Here is a 22,108-nt window from a genome sequence, read left to right on the forward strand (position 1 = left end):
TGAAGGAAATGACTTAGTGACTTAAGTCATTATATATGTACATTATATATGGAGTTTTATACACATATATATGACATTATATATGGAGTTTCAGATAATTCATTTGTTATCTTCATACTATATACATATTTCCATGGTTTAATTCTTAACTTTTTATCATGAACATTTTGTCTTACTTGAGAAAATGTAGTTTCTCACATACTGATAAACTTTTAATATTGCAAAGTATTTTATGTCTAATATTTTATTTCTTATCACATTACATTGGTCATATTATTTCCCCATTTGCAGAATTTCTTTCACCAAAGAGAACTAATAAAATATTCAAAGCACATTTTATGCCAGTAGAAAGAGGACACATATGCTCTAATGAAAATAGTATGTATTTTATTTAATATGCAATTAAGTGGTGTGTATTTGTTACTTGCTGGGCCCTTTTCCAATATCTTTCCAGTAATAATTACTTAATCTTTATGACAATCTAGTAATATGGAAATGACTTAGTTTCTTTATTCCAATTTCAGTGATGGGGGAAATAAATGCATCAAGAAACTAAATCATTTTTTAACACGTTTAGTAGATAACTACTTGTGACATTTCACCTGTATTTTAAATGCTATTGAATGCAATAGCGAAACACTTGCCTAAATGTTCAAATTTTATAGATCTAGAATAAACAATTCTATATCAGCCAGTTCTTGTTACATAAGCACTTCAAAATTCAGTAGTTTTAAATACCAATCATTTAATCTAGCTTGTGAGTCTGTCAGTTGGCTGGGGGTCGATGGTCTTGGTAGGATTCTGCCAAGATGTTCTGCTTTAAATATTGAGGTCTGGATAGAATTGGCATTTTGGACATAGGTCTTGTTTAGTCTATTCTGCATTACTATAAAGGAATACCTGGGGCTGGGTAATTTATAAAGAACAAAGGTTTATTTGGCTCATTCTTATGCAGGCTGTGCAGGAAGCATGATGCTGGCATCTTCTCAGCTTCTGGTGAAGCCTCAGGAAGCTTCTACTCATGCCAGAAGGCAAAGCAGGAGCAGCAGGTCACATGGCAAGTGAGTAAGTGAGAGAGAGAAAGAAGTGGGAGGTCTGAGACTCTTTTATACAACTAAGTCTCACATGAACTTACCAAGCAAAAGCTCATTTATCACCAATGGGATGGAAAACCATTCATGAGAAATCCACTCCCATGATCTAATCACCTCCCACCAGGTCCCCATTCCAACACAGGATGACGTTTCAACATGAGATTTGGAGGGGACACACATCCAAACAATATCAGTCTGTTCCACAAGTGTTCATTATTTTTAGATCCATAGTATAAGTAGCAGTGGCTAGAGGGGCAGGGAGGAAGTGCCTACTCTGTTGAAGGCAGAAACCTCCAGGGAAAAAATCAGTCTTAAGCACTTTTCAAATCTCTGCTTTCATTCTATATGTTAACATTACATTTTCTAAGTATTTCCCAAAGCCAGGCTCAAGGCAAAGGGTTGGGGTGTTAGTCTCCACCCTTCATAAACCAAAGCAAGTCACATGGTGAAATCTAACATATCTTGAAGACATAAACTCCCTGAGTAAGATATGGAGGTGGGATTCAATAAAAATATAAATAATTTGTATCTATATGACTATAAAAATATATAAACATACATGTGTGGTATGCATATATGTGTATAATCCCATGTAACGTTTTGTAAACAAATTTCTAAAAAAACATATTTTTCCAGTGCTGCTTTGTGCTACTGACTTCTAGAGTTTTATAGTTTTTCTAAAATAATGTAATTCCTTATCTTGGATTGGTATTTGGCCCCAAATAGTTTCTGTATGCCTATAAGTGACTTAAATAATTTCATTGTAGGCAAAGGCTCTTTCAGTTTCATCTGAAAGCCAAGCCTCTCTTCATTTCTAGTATAATCATTGATTAGAGTTGACAATTTTTTACAAAACCAAAAATAAAAACAAAATAACAATAGTGAAAGTTAATGTGTTAGATGACCGCTTGAGTGTTTTGCATGCTTACCTGTTAAAATTTATACAACCAACCAATGAAGTAGTCATTTCTGTGACCTTCCTCTTACGGAGGAGGCTACTGGGGCTTTTAGAGGTTTGTTTGCCTAAAGCCAGAAAACCAAGACTACAGGTGGGCTGATATTTGAATGCCCATCTAGAGGATGCCAGAACTCTAAGTATACAAATATAAAAGGGTCAGAAGTAGTCTTAATATTCTGTTTTCCTCAACAATTATATAGATCTGAAATAAATGCAATATAACATGATTTTATATAATAAAGAAGATTCAATATAAAAATAATTTTGTGTAAATCAGGTAAGGGCAAAGATAGTCACATAAAGATGGGAGCTCTAACAAAAACGATGTGAACTACAAGAAAGAATGGATTTCTCTTGTGAAAGATGCCTGCATTTGGACTGAAGTAATGTAAAAGTTAATTATTTTACATAATTTAAAGTCTCTGTTATTTCTTTTTTCAAGATCTGGGCATCGTTCAAATGCATATGTGCAACCTATAGCTTAAAAACTTACAGAGTAATATGTTAATAAATATTTGTTGAATAGATTAATGTTTATGAAAACTTACCCGCTATATAAGAAAATGGATGATAAATTTAAGACTGTAGTTATATACTCATTCTTGACTAAAACAAGAAAGGTATAATTGGGCAGGCATTGCTACTGCCTCTTGAAATTTTGTATTCTGTGAAGCTTAAAATGCCTATTTACATACACAGCGTAACTGTCTGAAATATATGTGAAATATTCATATAGAATTCTGTAGAGGAAGAGCAGTACTGATTAAAAACATGATGTCTGCGGAGGAACAACATAGATGAGATGCAAATTTCAAAATATTAATTTTTTTGATTAAGGTCAGGTGGCAGAAGATACAAACAGCCTCCATGGTGGAGTGAAGAGGGATACATAATCTTAAATTTATACTCTAGTCTTTGAAAAGCATTCTAACTGATTATGACAAATCAATTTATTTCTGGTATACATTAAAATGGATAAATAGGTTTGCTTACCTCTCAGTTTTGTTAGTGATTTAAATATAATAATGTGTTCAACTGAACTTTGTCAATGATAAAGTAAAACAAAATAAGGGGTTTATGGAAAGGATGTTAAGTAATTCTTAGTCCAATGCTCATCTCGGAAATCCATTTTAATCCTGCTTTGATAGCCTAAGGGTGAGCATCCTTCTCTATAACATTCAGTTTTTTAAAAGTGGGTATACATAACCTAATGAATTATGTGAGGCATTATTTTTGTCTTATTGAATCAACATTAAACACTGCCCAGTAATGTAAACCATGACTGTTGCCTGTACAATTATTTTTTTCAGAGGGGCTATTTCTCTTTCCTGTGCTTTAGTATAGGTCATGTTTCTTTAGGGTAAGTGAGACAATCACTCATTTGTAAGCCATCGTATGCCATGACTCTGTTTGTGGAAAACACACACACACACACATACACATATACAGCTTCTTTAAAAAAATAATTGCTACCTGTGAGAGAATCTACTTTTCCTCAGCCCAAACTATTACTTGTAAACCTAAGAAAATTTTGCAGAGCGAAGCCATGGCTTGGCTGAGAAATATCTGGCTGGCTGTCATAAAAATTTGTGCTTCGATATTTCTGGCTTAAATCCAAAAGGACATTCTGAACAAGTCTTATGAAAAAAGACAAAGAGAGAAAACAAAGTTAAACCGAAACTTCCTTTTTTAGTCTTTCCAGTATCCCCCTTTTCTCTCCTTCTCTTCAGAATAGTGCCAATATCTTAAGACAGAGTTGAGAAGAAAATTATTAGCAGCAATAATAGCCTTATTATGCAATTGCAGCTTTCATTTGTAATTCAATATTCCTTCCTATTTTATTTTGCTATCTTCTTAGAAATATGTAACAACTTTGCCATTAATAAAAAAATTCAGGGTTTGGGTTAACAATGTCAAAAGTTTGACAAAATAAAATCAAGTGTATCTCAAAATTTTGTGTATTCTACATTTTAACATTAGAACATATAAAAAAATCTAACAAGTTATCTTTCTTTACTAGTTAAGAAAATATGGTTTCCTGGAGGAATAACGGGGAAGTAGAATCGCCCTGATACACTTCAAATGCAGACCCCTATATTTTAAATAGGGAGTCCCCAGTAATTTTCAAGTACCAAAATGACACTATCTTCAATCATTCAAGTATTTTGCGGTCTTTTATTCAACAAATTCATATCAATCTATATCACTATTGCATATCTGGAAATGTTAAAAGAAGTGAGAATATGTTAGAGAATAACAACAAAAATCAGAACACACTGAAAATCAACAGAAAAAGTACACAATGTTATTTTCACAGCCTTTTCTTATTTAGGTTATTAGGAAGCACTGTGAGGCGGGTGTTTTAAATTCTATTGTACGTTTGAGAATTTAATTGGTAGTAGACCTTGAACCTGGATTGTTATTAATAAATATTTAGACTAAAATAAACTTTACTCCATAACTTGCTGACCATCAGGAGTTTCTCAAAATGCTAATGCTCTTTTCCACACAACTGGCCTTCCTGATCTCACAAGAGCATAGGTTCCAAGAAATCCGGGAGCATGTAAGTTTCTTCTGGCCATTTTATCACCAGACTCTAGCACAATGCTGGGAATTTAGAAGGCACTTAATAAATATTTGATAGTATGTGTCATTATAAAAAAGTTTCTTAGTTTTTCTCTCTTCTTTCACTTTCCTAAGATAAAACCTTCTGTGGAATTGTTTTGTAGAAATGCTTTACATCACATTAAACCAATGGGTGTGGTGCCTTGATCAGGAAAGACCAGGGACAGATGATGAGTCTTTCTCTTTCAGGAAAGAGGAAGAAAGCACATGTATTTTTATTCATTTGTGCTGTCTGCTGTGGCCAAGAACATCCTGCACATAAAAGAATCAATATTTTTTTGAGTTGCAGACTTAGCCTCAAATGTAAAAGCAATACTAGAGTGCAGTGTTTTGAAGTGAAAAGGAAAAAGGAAAGAAAAAAATTTTGATAAAACTTTAATATAATTCTTTTTTCATTTCCAAGAATGCCTTTTCAATTTATGTTGATAGAATTATAAGATAGGCAGCATCCTAACTAGAGTATTAAGAGAATACTATTAATGTAAAAAAATGCAATAAGAATAAAATAGAATGTAGTTTATAATTCCCCAGAAAGAGGAGTGATTGTTTTTCTGCCAAAAATAAAAATAAAAATCCTTTTGAGATTAGCATTTTCAAAGGGACCGAATCTTTAAACGGATTTAAGTTTTAAATTCACAAGTGGATTAAACCATGGCAATACAAAAAGTAAAATATCTTACCTGCCTGTGAAATATGTTTTACAAGATATTCCCAGGATGGATATGGTAAAAAAAAAAATGGTGTTCACAATGACTCTAGGCAAATACAACTTTGGAGTTTTAATATTATTTGGCCAAGTCTTGTTCTCTCCCTTCCTTACGCCCTACCTCCTCTCTGTTTTTCTTTCTGTCTCTCTCTTTCTCTCTCTCTCTCTCTGACTCTCTCTCTCTCTCTCTCACACACACACACACACACAGGCACAGATACACACATGCAAATATGTATACATATATTAAACTTTACTCAAAATATTCAGTACTATTCTTTTCTTGGTTTCATCCACCACTTCACATTTTTATCATGCTACTTGTTTGTTCTCTCGTGAGCTCTGAATGGGTTTTTTTGACTAATTGTGATATCTTGTAAAAGAAAAATACTGTTATAATCAGGACCTGAAACTCATGATACAAAGAAAGAGCTGCATAACTCTCAGTTAGCTACTTTTCCACTAGCCTTTGTCAAAAAATCATCCAAGAATCAGGAGTTCAAATAAGTTTTATGATCTGCTGTAATTAATAGTTACTTGGATATTCCATACTGCTTCAATTTTTGACGTTATGGAAGACACACACACACAGAAGTCAGAGTAAATTAAATATATCGAGGATAAACTATGCTGATAACTTTAAAGCAGTCAGTTTACCACTGGACACTTAAGGACATCATATTTCCTATTGCTTTAGGTGTCCAGATTCCTGAAATTTCTTTATCCCTCTCAACATTTTATTTCAAGAAAGAAAATGCTATTATTGAGCAACAAATGATGCCAAAGATTTAAACTTTCAGAGATTTGCATCATTTTAAGTGATATCAGTGATGCGAATCAAGGAGTTGTAGATGTTAACAGCTTGAAAGAGATATGAGGGAAGCCTCCAGCTGATGTGCACTTCTGCTGGGTAGCTAAGCTTCGTTTATGCCCATTCAATGGCATAATACAGAAATATATATATAAGCATCTTTCCCAGATATCCCACCTGCATCTTGTGCCCTAAAGACCTTTTAATTTGCCTGCACTGAGGGAAATTCACTTCCTATTATGCTTTTTTGTATTATTTATTTATTTATTTATTTATTTATTGAGATGGAGTTTTGCTCTTGTTGCCCAGGCTGGAGTGCAATGGCGTGATCTTGGCTCACCGCAACCTCTGCCTCGCGGGTTCAAGTGATTCTCCTGCCTCAGCCTGCCGAGTAACTGGGATTACAGGCACCCACCACCACGCCCGGCTAATTTTGTATTTTTAGTAGAGATCGGGTTTCTCCATGTTGGCCAGGCTGGTCGTGAACTCCCGACCTCAGGTGATCCGCCTGCCTCGGCCTCCCAAAGTGCTGGGACTATAGGTGTGAGCCATCACGCCCTGCCTAATATGCTTTCTTAGTTAACATTTACTTATTACCAAAGGCTGTAGTGCCTCCTTTTTTTGTATAATGGGAACTTTTTGGAAGAAGAATATTGTAAGATCAATATTAACTTTAATCATGATCAACATAGTCCATTTTATTTTCTTGCCATTTACTTTAGGTTCAGTATGAAATTCCCTAGTGATACCAAATCATCTAGAAAATATATAACAAAATCATGACATCTTGTTGAAAACAAACTGATCTTTGTTTATGTATATCAAAGCTTAGCAGAGACAAATGGTGCTCTAAGTAGGTTTTGACTCTAACAGGGTTGATCCCATAGAGTCATAGTATTTTTAACTTTTTAAATCATTTCCACATGCCTAATGTTGTGTGATCCTCAAAATAACCTTGCTGAGAGAAGAACTGTTATCTGCATTTTATAGAACTGGAAAATGTGCTTAAAGCCAGAAAAGTGATTCAGTATCTTCATACAGGTAGTTGTTGCACAGTGGGAACTGGAAAGAAGGGAAGCGTGCCCAGAAGCAATAAAGCATGATGCATTTTCTGCCTATGCCTTCAAATGCATCTGAACTATACTCACCCTTTGTTTTCATGATCCAGTGGCACATCGGTACCTCAACCCCTTGCATCATCTTGAAGACTATTCTTTCTCTTTTCAACAAATTTGTACATGTTGTTCCTAAAATATTCTTGAGTTATTTTTATTCCTATGGTTTCCTGACTGGTCCTGTGTATTTACCACATGTCAATCTAATCACCACTTTCTTGGAGAGGACTTTCCTTCCCACTATTCTGTCCTCTACCAAAGATTTTCTCTTGTATTATCCTATTACTTTCCTTTAAAGTCCTTACAGTAGTTTGAGATTATTTACTATATTTACACAGTACGTTTTTCATTGCTTATCACCTCCACGCTCCTGCTTCGTAAATGCCAGGATAGTATATTCCTCACTATTGCATAGAAAACACTTGGTTTGTAGCACAATTCTTGATATAGAGTAAATGCATCCAAATTATGGATAAATGAATGAGTAAATCTAAATTTCCTTATTTGCATTCCAATATTCGTTTTGTTAGGCAAGCTTATCTCCTATACACGAAAACGAGGTTTTGAAATAATACCTTTTTGTGGTAGCAAGATAAGTATTTCTTACATGTTTTTAGTTTAAAAAATACAATTATATGTGAATTCTCTTATTGTTTTAGATTTTTATTTCCTTATGTCTAAAATTATGGCGTTAACCTTAATGAGTTCTAAAGGGAAATAATCTACTACTCTGTTTCTTTTTGGCATAGGTGACTGGAAGGCAGCTGTATTTAAATTTCTATAAAGATCAGATCCTCTATGGACATCTTTTACTGTGAGTAAAACAAGGGCAGTCTGGATGAAAGGCAGTTTCATTTGGATTTTGCCCACTGGCTAAATATATGAACATTACAAGGGACATATGTAAATAGAACCTTTATACATCTGGAAACAAACTTGCATCTTTTACCTCTAAGACATTGTTAAAAAATCAACATACAGCACTATATTTGCCTTCTAGATCTTACACATTTGATAAGAAAATCTGAAAATAAACACATACATTCATATTGTAATTTTAGATAATAATGCACATTATTTGCTTGAATTGTATACTTCACTTACAGGTTTTACACAATCCCTTATTTTTCTATTCAATAATCCTTATGCAGAAACCAAATGTTCTTGGTTTAAGCATATTATATGCCACCATGTAATCAATAAATACGTGCTGAAACGCATACACACATACACGCACGTCTTGCAGCAAGCCTTTTTAAAAGTTATTTGATAAAATTGTCTCCCCAAATATGAAGTATTATTTTCTCAAGACAAGCATTTAATGGCACATCTTAGTTTAGATGGTAGATGGCCACAAAGTAATGGTAGAATTGCTAGCACTCTCCAGGAAACATTAAAAAGAGCCGTCAATGGCCGGGCACTGTGGCTCACGCCTGTAATCCCAGCACTTTGGGAGGTTGAGGCGAGCGGATCACGAGGTCAGGAGATAGAGACCATCCTGGCTAACACGGTGAAACCCCGTCTCTACTAAAAATACAAAAAATTAGCCGGGCATGGTGGCAGGCGCTGGTAGTCCCAGCTACTCCGGAGGCTGAGGCAGGAGAATGGCGTGAACCCGGGAGGCGGAGTTTGCAGTGAGCCGAGATCCTGCCACTGCATTCCAGCCTGGGGGACAGAGCGAGACTCCATCTCAAAAAAAAAATAAGAAAAAAGAGCCGTCAAACAAATCAAGGAGAAAATTATCAGAGAATCATTCTGTAAAATTCTCAGAGGTTAGAATAGAGCAGGAAGTTAAATTAAGAGATTGTCATATCCAATCACGTTTCCAAAAAAGACACAGTTAAATAGCACTCTTTTTCTACACTTCCTTCTAATAATATAAATGCATGCTGGGCTTAAATAAAACAATTAAACAAACAAAAATAGAAAAAAAATGCATTATCCCCGCATACTAGTTCAAATACCTCCAATAAATGCTGACCTAATATCTTTGTGGTATAGTAAAACATTATGTTTCTTATTACATATTGTCGAGATCTTTTGCAATCAACTAGTAATAGTGAATTTCAAGGCTACTCTGTGTAATTATTCATGCATGGATGAGATTCATATGAAAATTAAACTAAACTGTCAATGAAAAAAATCTTTATTCCCAAGATAAATGTTGCTTTTAGAAATTAGAGATACAGAAAAAAAAAGTCAGAATTAGAGCAAAATGTACACTCAAGAGAGAAGTAAGAGAGCTAAAGAATTGAGTGATATGTATATTTCAGAGAGAAATTACATTTAAAAATCTAAAAGATGTATGTAAAATCGATATATGCTTTAAGTCAGTGTGGGCAGAAGAAACATTCTTATATTTGGAGACATAATAACTGTTCATTAAGAAAGAAGAATGAATTGATCATATTTTATGAGCAAAGCAAAAAATATAAACATTTTAAAATATATTCCTTCCCAGGTTAATTATACTTTAGTCATGAAATCAACATATGAATGTTTATTTATTTGATACTTAACATTTATATCACAGGATAATGACTAATTATTTGAATAAATAGCTTGATGTTGCAAGTTTAAATCTAAACTTTAAAGTCTTAAATTATCTAAAAGCAGATATGAAATAAGCTGAATTCAACTAACATAATTTTTAACAAGTTGTCAATAATATTGATTTATTTCAAATATAGTCGGTTGTACTAGAAAATTTAGACTTGTATATATATATACATATATTTTTAAAATCCTATAGGTGATTCATATGTATATGAACTATTCACATGTATAGAAGACCAAATTCTAAATAAGCAAATTCACATATATGTGATATCTACAGTTGATTCTTGAACAATGCTGAGATTATGGGCACCATCCCCCTGTGAGTCAAAAATGCGTGTATAACCTTTGATTTCCCCTTAAAAGTAATGGCTTAACTGCTTATAGCCTACTGTTAGGTGTACCAATAACACAAACAGTCAATTAACATATATTTTGTACATTATATATATTATATACCGTATTCCTCCAATAAACTAGAGAGAAAAAATGTTATTAAGATAATCATAAGAAAGAAAAAATATATTTACTATTTATTAAGTGGAAGTGGATCATCACAAAGGTCTTCATCCTCACCATCTTCACACTGAGTAGGCTAAGAGGAGGAGGAAGATGAGGGGTTGGGCTTGCTATCTCAGGAGCGGCAGAGGCAGAACAAAATTTATGTGTAAGTGGACGTTCCCAGTTCAAACCTGTTTTGTTCAAGGGTCAACTATACATATAATCAAAAAGTTGTTGTAGATGATGGAAATGAAAACCTCATTATTTTGTAAAACTAATCACTTTGTTTCATCTGTAAACAGACTTTTTACTCATATATTCACGCTTCAAAGATTAAATTACATATGGCACTGTACATTTCAAATCTTGTAAAAATGTGACTCAGACTTTGAATCACTTGAGCCACTCTAGGGTAACTTGATAATGAAGTTTAAAGTTTATACTGATATATGTAATAATAGAAAATTTTTCAATTATATCTCTGAAAATATTGTTTCCACTCCATTAATTGAGATTAATTCTATAAAACTCTAATGTCCCCATCCCACTCAAATACAACCCTCTCAGAAAATATATTCTCTCTTTAGCACCATTGATTCTTTATCTGTAACATGTTAATGAAAATTCTTTTTTTTTTTAACCTTCAAATCCATGCGTAAGTTCTGTTTGCAACAAAAGTTTTAATAAGAAAACAAAAACTATCATTTGGCTCAGTAGATTATTAAATGTGCAAATGATCTTTTAATCTGCAACCAGCATTCAGCTAAAAATAATTTTTCTTATTTTTTTATCAAACCAGACACTAGAACATTTGTTTTGTCATCCAAAGTAGTTTCAACTATTATGGACTTTTAAGTTTGAACTCTGTATCCATAGAAAATAGCCTCAAAACGAAACAAAACAAACAAACAACAAACCCTGGGTTTTGTAAATATGCTAGTGAGAACACCATACCATTTCCACTACTTTAAGACTTACAAGAAGAAAAATTATATTTCTTCTAAGCAGCCAATCCATTTTTACTTACAATCACTGAGGATCTCATAATTCTCTTCCTTTTTATTTCTAAGATGTTTGAAAACAATGTGCAACCCAGCTTAAAAACTGTGAAGGTCTTATGTAATATATGCCCATCACTAATTTTCTTGCTTATTTAACACTCTATTTTTCCTTTTATCCTATAAGGAGAGGGAATTGTTAGATTGCAGTCATTCCTAATTCTTAGCAATAGATCAAGGACTAGGAGGAATAAAATAATTCATCCTATCTACATCTAGATAAGTCCCATGGAATTTTGAGATCAAGTTGGTATGATAGTATCATATAGTTACTACCCAAATACATTTACTGGGTATACAGAGACTTTTGGCAACTAAATAAGTAGTTGCCTTTCAAAAATGCATTCCCAACTAGCTACCCAGCAATTCTTTGGACAAATTTAACCATTTGAAACATAATTGACTTATTTAAATATGACCAGCACTGCTACACTATGCTTCAGTGATATGAGTTGCTCATATATGATTGGCATACAGGGGAGTGATGTCAGCCAAATAGGGACTGCTTGTTCAGATGATATTTCCCCACTCTCCCACCTCCTCATTCTGTTAATGTATTGTGCCCTGCTGGCAAGTGTAACAGCAACTGAAATGAAAATCCAAGGGCAGAATATAGTGAGCAAGAGTAATGCACAGTAGGGCACCAGGTCTACTCACCCTTCCATCTGCCACCTGGCACCTGGTTTGGTCAATCATCTGCTGTACATTTGAAGTACATATTGTTTTTATTTATTTTGCAAAGTTTTTTCATATCCTCATGGCTTAGTAGACTCAAGCCTTGATTACAAACCCTTTCTTTTTTTTTAAATAATGGTATATCTTTATATTCAGTGTAGCATTCATTTATTTGAAATACTATTTTATAACTACGCATATTATTTAGAATGCTATTACGTTAGCCCCAGTTACAAGTTTGCCTAGATTCTTATTCTTCTTCTTCTAGTAATATTCTTCTCTAAGTCCTGATATTTTTAGTGCATGATTTTGCAGAACTTGAGTTTCCAGGAGCACATTCATGGCATTCTAGAGAAACACCTCTATATAAGTTGTTGTTGCTGTTCACAATCTACCCACCATTTTAAAAAATATTCATTTTCGTGATAAAATGTCCAGTTTGTTTTCTGATAACATGTAGGATGAAATACAGATGTAAATCTTGAAATAGCTCTAGACCCATATAATGGTCAGTTAGTATTGCACTATATTTTTGCCTGTACAATTTGTACACATTGGAAATCCGACATTAATATGCTATTGGAAATTTTATCTTCTGTGTTTTAGTAGAAAAATCATGTTGGGAATATAAATACCAATTCATAAAAATCCATAATGAAAACAACACATCACCACTGTCAGTTGCCTAATTGTTTATTCCTTGTTACAAAAACACAATTTTATTTAAGTACTATCTCTGAGGCAGGATGAAATGAATTATCAGCTCAGGGGTAAAGACGCCAAATTTAGGCTGTCCATGGCTAGTCTATTAGTGATGTGTGTGATGCAGTTCTCTTTACTAGGACATTTTTGTCACTTTAAAAGAGAGATGAACAGCATTGTTTTATATCTTATTTATCTGTCAATGGAAGTATCAGTGTATGACATTAGTCTAGTACCTCAGGAAGTTGAGGGGGCCTGAGGACAATCCAAAGACAGAGTGAAAAAGTGACAAAAATCTGAGTCTTCCATGGACACTCAATTGAGCAACTCTAGAACCATCTTCACTACGTAGCTTGTTCTGAAGATGCTAAACTCAATTTGCTATTTTAAGCCATTTACTTTTCTGTTCTACTTAGTCAAATGTACGTTATTCTCACACATACACATGTGTATGTGCAGACACACACACACAGAAACACACACACACACACACATACACATACATATACACTCAATCTTTCAAGAAGTTTTAATTTTTTTTTTTCTTAAAGATGGACTCCTATTCCATGGCCCAGGCTAGAGCGAGCACAGTGGTGTGATCCTAGCTCACTGCAGCCTTGAACTCCTGGCCTCAAGCAATCCTCTTTCCTCAGCCTCCTGAGTGGCTGGGACTGTAGGCACATGCCACTGCACCTGGCTAATTTGTATAAAAAATTTTTGTAGAGACTCCTGGCTTCAAGAGATCCTCTCACCTCGGCCTCCCAAAGTGCTGGGATTACAGATGTGATCCACTGTGCCTGGCCTCATGAAGATTTTATTTGTATGGATTTCCAGTGGTCATTCACATAATTCTCACATCTATCTATCTACATTTTTTTCTCACTTCAAATGAAAAACATTTCTGAAGGCACAATACTGAACTTTTTCCTCTTCTTTCTACTGTCTTTCCCATCAAGTACTGAGTTATGATTTTGACCATCTTCTCTAAGAAATTTAAATAAATGCTATTAATGATATTCCATGTCTGCAAATTTACCATTTTGCAAATTCTAAACATGAACTGGCTTTGTCCCATAGGATTCAAATATTAGCCATCACTATAATTCTATGTTGAATCACCTTTCATCAACTCCCTATCAGGAAAAATTGAATTTTTCCTTCAAAGCAATAATCTTGCTACTTTTTAGACCTTTAATATCCTCAACAATATTAATTTGTCTTTAGCCTACTATACTTTCTGATAAGAGATACATAGATAAGTATTACTTCTACAATCATTATTGAGCAAACGTTACTCTGTGCCAGGGACTCTTTAAAGTGTGGGTGGTGTATCAGTGAGTAAAAACGTCCTTACTCTATAGAACTTAAATTACCTTAAAGCAGTTTTATTAGGAACACACAGTGTTTTTCATTTTTTTCCTCTGTGTATGCCAAACATCAAACACACATCACAAGCCTTCATATTGATCTGTATCTTGTTTTGTCTAGGAGGCCAACATAACTTAGTGTTTTACTCAGCATCAAGTATTAGGTGCCTGTTATATGTGAAGAACATGGTTACTATCATAGTAGACCTTAAAATAGAGAAGGAAGGAGAAATGAAAATGAACCATAGCTTGCTGAAATAAATACTAGAAAGTGATATGAGAGATGCCATCGGTTCACATAAAGTGGTTATCTACTCAAGTGACTGAATAAAGGGAGGGAATATTTAATTGGTGCATAATTGTGTATGGAGGCTGCCTATTCCAAGGGCAAAGAATGAGCAGAGATGTATTTTTCTCGTAGAGAAAAAATACAACATCCAATTAAAAAGAACCTAGGACATTAGAAGAGTTTCACTGTCTTGCTAACAAATACAATCTTTCTTCTGCAGAATATGGGAGTCATTGGAGATTGTAAAGGGTATGCTATGATCAAATACCTTGTAGGGAGTTAACTCTGGTGCAAGGAGACAACCAGTCCTTAGTGGGGTAAGAATAGAGATGGGGAAAGCATTGATAAATTATGGCAATGTGTAAGACACAGATAGATCACGGCATAAAATACAGAAGTAGTAGCAAGCACGGATAGCAGACAAATATGAGAAATATTGATCTAGGACTTTCCAAGACATAAAAGCCCTTAGATACTAGCCTGTGACTGAAGATTAGATGAGCTGCCTCTAAAAACATAGTGAATTTTTTTATCTCCTTTCTCTGATCACAAATCAGAGAAGAGAGAAAGTGTATGCATGTGTGTGTGTTCTCACCAGTGTTTTACTGATGAAGTATATATATTTAAAAACACAGTTATATATATATTTGATATATAATATATAAATATATATTTAAAACAGTGTTATATATAACTTATATATGTTATATATGTGTTTTAAAAGTTATATATACAAAATGTGTTTTTAAAGTTATATATAACTATATATAAATTATGTGTATATATATATATTTAACTGTATTTTTAAAGTTTCCAATACATTTTAGAAAAAGCTGAATTATTTATGTGGCACCTGGTAATGTTTTTCAAATAAGACATAATAAATATGTTATGATTCCTATTAATATAGAAAGCACAGACTAAGAACAATTATGATGAATGGCCTCTAAGGATGAGGAATATGTTACAGGGGCTCTGGTACATTCATAATCAACTTATGAAGAAAATTAAGACTGCCAGTAGTGATAGATACAGGAAATATCCTACCCCCAGACCCCCCATCTAGCAGAGCACACACTCCATGTGCATGGTGAAAAATATGGGCTTTTAATTTGATTTTCTGGTCACTTTTCAGCAAGACCTACGTTCCTATATTTGTTTATTTCTTTATTTATTTCTATTACAAACTGCACAATGATTTTTCTATAGCATTCAGAAGATACAAGGGCTTCTTTTACTGCCTGTGACCAGTCATATGTACCATTTTATTGCCAACTACTACTGCGGGATATTAAGTTGTCACCCAAACCAAAGAACAAGCAACCATAAAAATAACTGCATGATTTGCAGTTCGCTTCAATGTAAAGGGCAAAATACGTGGTCTGTGCTGGGTGGCACTGCAGCCCCAAGGACTCTAATCCAATTCCAGAGATTGTACAAATGCACTGCAATTTTCCTTGTTCATTTGGGGATGTACATTACATGATCGTTTGGGCTTTATAATATTATTTACTTTCCCAAAGGTCATGAGAAAAAGAAATAGCAACTAATGAGTTAGTTCTGGAAGAGCAGCTTATTTTGATTATGCTATGTTCATACAGTACAGCAAAAATTAGACTAGGATACATTAGCATTTATACTGCTTTTATAAAGCTTACTGGGGAGGGCTGTTGATCAAAGGGGGCATAATACACACATTGCCTTTCTGGAAAAGAACATTAAAAAGCCTGTATAAGGGCATTTTTTATAATTCCTTTTGTAAAAATGCCTTTCTCTCGACATTAAATTGTTGTGGATACACAAAGAAAATACATAGACTTAAAATGTTCCAGCAAAATAAATTGGCACACAAAAATTAATATTTAAGATATTAAATACTAACATTTAACTAATACTCTGGAAAGTGGATGATGCCTCATAATTAAAAATACTCTTTATAAAATATCATCCAAACACTGACAAGCTCTAAGAAAACACAATTTATTTTAAAAGCCAACATGAACATCTCATAGCAGCAGCTTTGAAATAGCCAATTCCATCAATACAGCAAAATAAACTAACTAGTCAATTGTCTCCCTCTCCTTCTACTTTTCTTTTTATTTCCTTAAAAGTGATAATTTTAGCTATCCCTTTTCTATGAACATAAAATAGACAACCTAATTTCAAAATAAAGCCAAATATACCTTTTCTTACAGTCATTTGCTTCACACTACACTAGATTTTTATCTAATTATATATATATAATGTTTATGAAGTCCACTTAAAGCAATATCTAACACAATATCAAACTGATTTGTAGAGAAATGAAGATCAAGTCTATGAAGATAAAATATATCTTTCTTTGTAGGAGTAACAAATCTGAAGAAAACATGGTGATAAGAAGAAAGATGCTCCTCCCGCCCCACACATGCCCAGATATCCAGGTCTTAATTTTCAAAATTTTTGAGTATGTTACATTACAAGGCAAAAATTATTAAAGTTAAGATTAATTTTTCAATCTTAATTAATAATAGGAAAATTACTCTGGATTATCTGGTTCGACCCAATGTAACTATATAAGCCCTTAAAAGTGGAAGAGGATGCAGGGTGATTGAGTCAGAGGGATGTAGCAATAGGGGAAGAGACAGGGGAGATGTGTAGCATGAGATGGGCTTTACTTGCCATGGCTGGCTTTGAAGTTGGAGGAAGGAGGGCATGAGCCCATGAATTTGGGTGGCCTCTAAAACTTGAGAATGATCCTTAGCTTACAGCAAGCAAGGAAGTGGGAACCCCAGTTCCACAGTAACAAGGAATTGAATTCTGAACAACAACCTGAATGAGCAGGGAAACACATCCTCTCTTGGAACCTCCTGAGAAGAAACAGCCCTATGGACACTTTGCCTTTAGCCAGATGAGACCCATGTCAGAATTCTGACCTCTGAACTCTACAACAGCACATTTGTGTGTGTGTTTTATTTTTTTAACTACAAAGTGTGTGGTAATTTGTTCCAGCAATGATAGAAAGTTAATACAAACAGTCTGTTAAATACTTGATTTTATGTCTGAGAAATCTGAGCCTACAGAGATTCAATGGCTTACCCTAGCCAGGTAGTGACAGGGTTTCCAAATTCTTGATCTCTTCCCAAGAGTGCTTTCTTGTTTTGAATCATCCAATCCATTCTAATCTAAGCAGTCTGGATACAGTCAAGCCAGATCAAATCATATGCCTCTGTGCCTATAATTCAGGCATGACTCCTTTCGTGCTTTAAAATTCTCATTCTAGTTTGGCGTCCGCACCTTCTCTTACTTCACCCAATACCCATCTCACCGCACTCCTTGCAGCATGGTGCTGCTCCATTTCAGGGTCATGCCTTCTGCTCACCTTATGGTAATGCTTTCCTCTTGCTTGTCCTGAGGACATAAGAGCTATCACTCTCCAAGTTCTCAGCATGGCTGCTGAATTCTCATAATTCAAGTATCAGTTTAAATATCAGTTCCATAGAGAAACTGTCTAGACTTAGATTCCTTAAATCACCACTCATCTCTGTCATTTCAAGCTTTTCAATCTATGTTTGTTTCTCCTCTCCTTTATTATCTTCTTCTTCCTCTAGCATCTGATAACTATGGTATGGAGACTTTATCTCATATGAATCAGTAACATTGGTATATAAGTGTCTGATAAAAATATCTACTGTGAAAATATCTAGTAAAATAATTTCTGGCTCCTAGTTCAAGGCTGTTAGCTACTGAACTTTGCCAGTTACATTAATTGTGACTGGCATTCACACCCCACATTATAATGCCTGTTATTATTAAAGGAATCTACTTGTGTTCATTTATTGACTTTATATTAAGTAAAAGTAATAAATATAAACTTATAAAATGTACTGACACAAAGTACCATTTTTATCTGTTTCAAGTGTTAGAAATTGACACACTTATTTTTATCATTTTTAGCTCCTGCTAGAATAAAACACGGTATTTGTGGCTATAAATATAGGATAACTTACTAAAAGAAACATGTTAGTAACATTATTCTGGCATATTCCAAAATATTCAGTGAATAAGTAAAAGCTCAAAGACGAGCTGTCCAGACTGTACTATGTTTATTTAGACAGAAGTAAAATACTGCCCAGGTCCAGAGAGATCAATGGGAAAGAAAAGAAGGATGATGGACCTTTAGTCAAAAGGGGAGAAGAACTACGGGTACAGATTATAATAGGATTCATTACAGGTTATAACATCAGTGAAGAAGGGCAGTGACTCAGTTGTGTACATGAAAATAAAATAAATTGCTTGATTAATTCACAGTAGTTATACAAAACTGACTTATATGAAGTATTTATGCTTTAGAAAGCTTCCTATTACAAATATTCAAGTGAATAAAAATGAACTAATGTATCTCTAAAGTAATTATTGGGGAACTCAGACAATTATCTAATTATCTTGAAACAAATTTGTTGAATGTTTGAAATTATTATAGTTTAAGTTGCAAATTGCTCAGAAGTCTGTTATTTTTATTACTATTACTGAGATATAACTTTAAACAATGTTTTTTTTCTAAAAAGAGAGGGTAATGTTACTGTGTTTCACTAGTTCCATTGTAAATAAATGTTACTTTTTGACTATCTCTTGCTTTAAAAGATTCATTTCTTTAAAATTTTACATCTATAATTTTACAACAATTTTGTCTACTTGAATATTTCTAATACTTATGATAAACATTGTTTAGGTTATTCATATATATCTTCATATCATTCATTCAATCAATCATTATGTTGTTCACTGTACAGTAAGTCACAGGAAACTAGAATGAATTAATCCTTTAATTTGCCTTCAAGGAATTTACAATGTAATAGGGAAGTGAAAGATATGTGTAAAGAGCCTTGATGCCCCTTTAAATAAGCTCCTGTCGGGGACTGATTAATGCATTCTATTAAATGTACAAAACAAATTTAAGGTATATTGTTTGGTTGGTTGCATATATTATACAAAAATCATCAAGTTTCACTTATTTAAATTAGGATGTTAGGGAGTTCTTTCTGAGGAAGCGATGCTTAAACTAGGAAGTAAGGAGTGAAAGTGATGAAAGGATGTGGTCATGTGAAAACTGGGAAAGGATGGTACTGAAAAAGACTAACATGCTGTGTTTCCTTCTTATGTCTATAGGTACAAGGGATGGGTTCACAGCATCAAATTGCAGTCAGAACACACAGAATGTGTTAGCAAATATTCATTAATGCAACAAATAATCTCTATGCCCTTTTAGGACTCTCTGATGAACTGTATTACTGTTCATTTATACCCCATGCCTTTCTGAGAGAGGCTCTATATCCTTGCCTTGTTGAACTCAGGAGAGTCATATTATTTGGCTAATGAAAAAGCATATGTGGCCCGGGCACAGCGGCTCACACCTATAATCCCAGCTTTGGGAGGCTGAGGTAGGCAGATCACAAGGTCATGAGTTTGAGACCAGCCTGGCCAATATGGTGAAACCCCGTCTCTACTAAAAATAAAAAAAAAAAAAAACAATTAGCTGAGCATGGTGGCGGGCACCTGTAGTCCTAGCTACTTGGGAGGCTGAGGCAGGAGAATTGCTTGAACTCAGGAGGCAGAGGTTGCAGTGAGCCAAGATTGCACCACTGCGCTCCAGCCTGGCGACAGAGCGAGATGCCATCTCAAAAAAAAAAAAAAACAGAAAGAAAAAAGAAGAAAAGCATATGTGTGTATATATGTATGCTGTATAAATATATATATATATGCTGTATGAATGTATATGCATATATATATATATATATATATATATATATATATATATATATATGAGCAGAGGCAGTATGTGTCAGTAATAATCAGAAATCTTAAGAACCAGTGGCACATGTGGTCTTAAAGCTTCCTTTTGCTCTACAAAAACAATTACCAATGTTTCACACAGAGAGTGCTCTGTGACCAGGCCCCGGCTTGAAACTGAAGTGAAAAATTCAGTGTGAAGGGAGACATAAATATTTGCTGCTCTAAGCCAGTGGGATTCTAGAATTTTAAAATTTCATTACTTTTTAATTTTTTTAACTGCAGCATTCCCTAGCTTATTTTTACTAATATAGCCAGCCATGTAAATATTACCAAAGTTTTGCTTTTTTTGGTTAGAGAAAATACTCAGACTTGTGCTGTCAAAATTTATAGCCACTAGTCACTGGATTATTTAAATTAAATTAATTCATGATAAATACAACTTAAGAATTAGTTCCTCAGTTCCACTAACTGTGTTTCAAGTGCTCAATAGCCGTATGCAGCTGGTGAAAACTACGTAGAACAGCACAGACATAGAAGATTTCCATCATCACACAAAGTTCTATTGCAAGGCAGCCACTCAGACTGTGAAAGATTTGGACCTTTTCCACCTTCCACCCTGTTTCCAACCCATATGGATTCATTCATAGTCTTTCTCCAGGGATAGTTAAACTTAATCAAGGGAAGAGTTTCAGTTCTCCCAAGCATCTTAAATCTCAGTGGCTTCCTATGAATTTTTATTCCTTTTTATCTAAAACCAATTAAAGTTGTTGCTGTATCATTTTATACCTCACTAATGGCCAGACCCTCTGGAATTTACTAATGCTGTTACACACCAATCGATAACAATTAACTGCCATGGCTTCAACTTGATCTTCTCCTGGTTCCAGAATTAGCAGTGTGACATCCTTGGTTTAATTAAGAAATGCAGTTATTCTGAAGCTTCTCAAATCAAATTGATGTAGACTTTTAAAATGATTCCCAGACACTCTTCCATGCCTCCTAGCCAACTGAAGCCAGCTTATATTGAAGCAGTTGAGTGGAATCAGCAAGCCAGTCAGCACCAGCATCTGATCTCTTCAGTCTTAATTTTATTTGTTCTGCCTCATTTCAAAGTTTTTGGGGACTCTTGATTGCCCAAATAATAAAGGATATACTCTGATCTAAATAATCAATTTTCTTTTTCCACCCCAACTTACCTTTAAAACTTTATTTTCTCCTTCTTCTTCTAAGAAATATTTCAATATGTTTTATTTTGTCATTATTCATGAAATTTGTTATATATTTTGCTACAAGTTTTAACTCTGAATGAATCTCTTTATTTACCATTTAGGACCTGATTCAAACCTCATCTTTCCATGACTCTTTCCCAGATCTTTTCATCTGGCATTAGTTATTGCTTCAAGCATGATGATACTTTAATATACTGTCTTTTCCTATGAATCTTACTCATTTATTGAACAACTATTAATTAAGGGCCTTCTCCGTACCAGACACTTATGCAGATATTTAGGAAATATTCACCAGTAAGTTATAATAATAAATTAGTTCCCATATAACTTATGTTTCAGTAGAATTTGATACATTTTAGCAATTCAATATAAGGTTCTCAAATACAGGTGCTATCTATTCTATCTTCTCCCCACTCGCCCCTTCCCCCTTACTTCTAGGTTCCCAGAGCATTGCTTTGGATTCAGAAATGTATTAATGAAAAACTTACATGGAACATACCTCAATGTACAGTGATCGTCTACATTTTCAGAGTCCTTCATTCTCTCCTTTTATTAGGCTCCAAAAATGTTCCAAATGCATGGTCCCATTCAGACTTCCACTGAGTACTTTGGATTTTTAAATTGCTCCCCTAGCGTAAACTGTGTCTGTC

The 22,108-nt window shown here is 34.1% G+C and overlaps 1 long non-coding RNA gene across 1 annotated transcript; it reads left to right on the forward strand.

Annotated features, from left to right (window-relative positions):
* The first annotated feature begins 955 nt into the window (after window positions 1–955).
* Window positions 956–16,881, forward strand: LOC124906132 (uncharacterized). The gene is made up of 3 exons (XR_007088669.1): window positions 956–1,061; window positions 8,059–8,123; window positions 16,805–16,881. It is a non-coding gene; the product is annotated as an uncharacterized LOC124906132 (long non-coding RNA).
* Window positions 16,882–22,108: the final 5,227 nt, after the last annotated feature.

The sequence above is a fragment of the Homo sapiens genome, chromosome 2, assembly GCF_000001405.40.
Source record: "Homo sapiens chromosome 2, GRCh38.p14 Primary Assembly".
Lineage (NCBI taxonomy): Eukaryota > Metazoa > Chordata > Mammalia > Primates > Hominidae > Homo > Homo sapiens.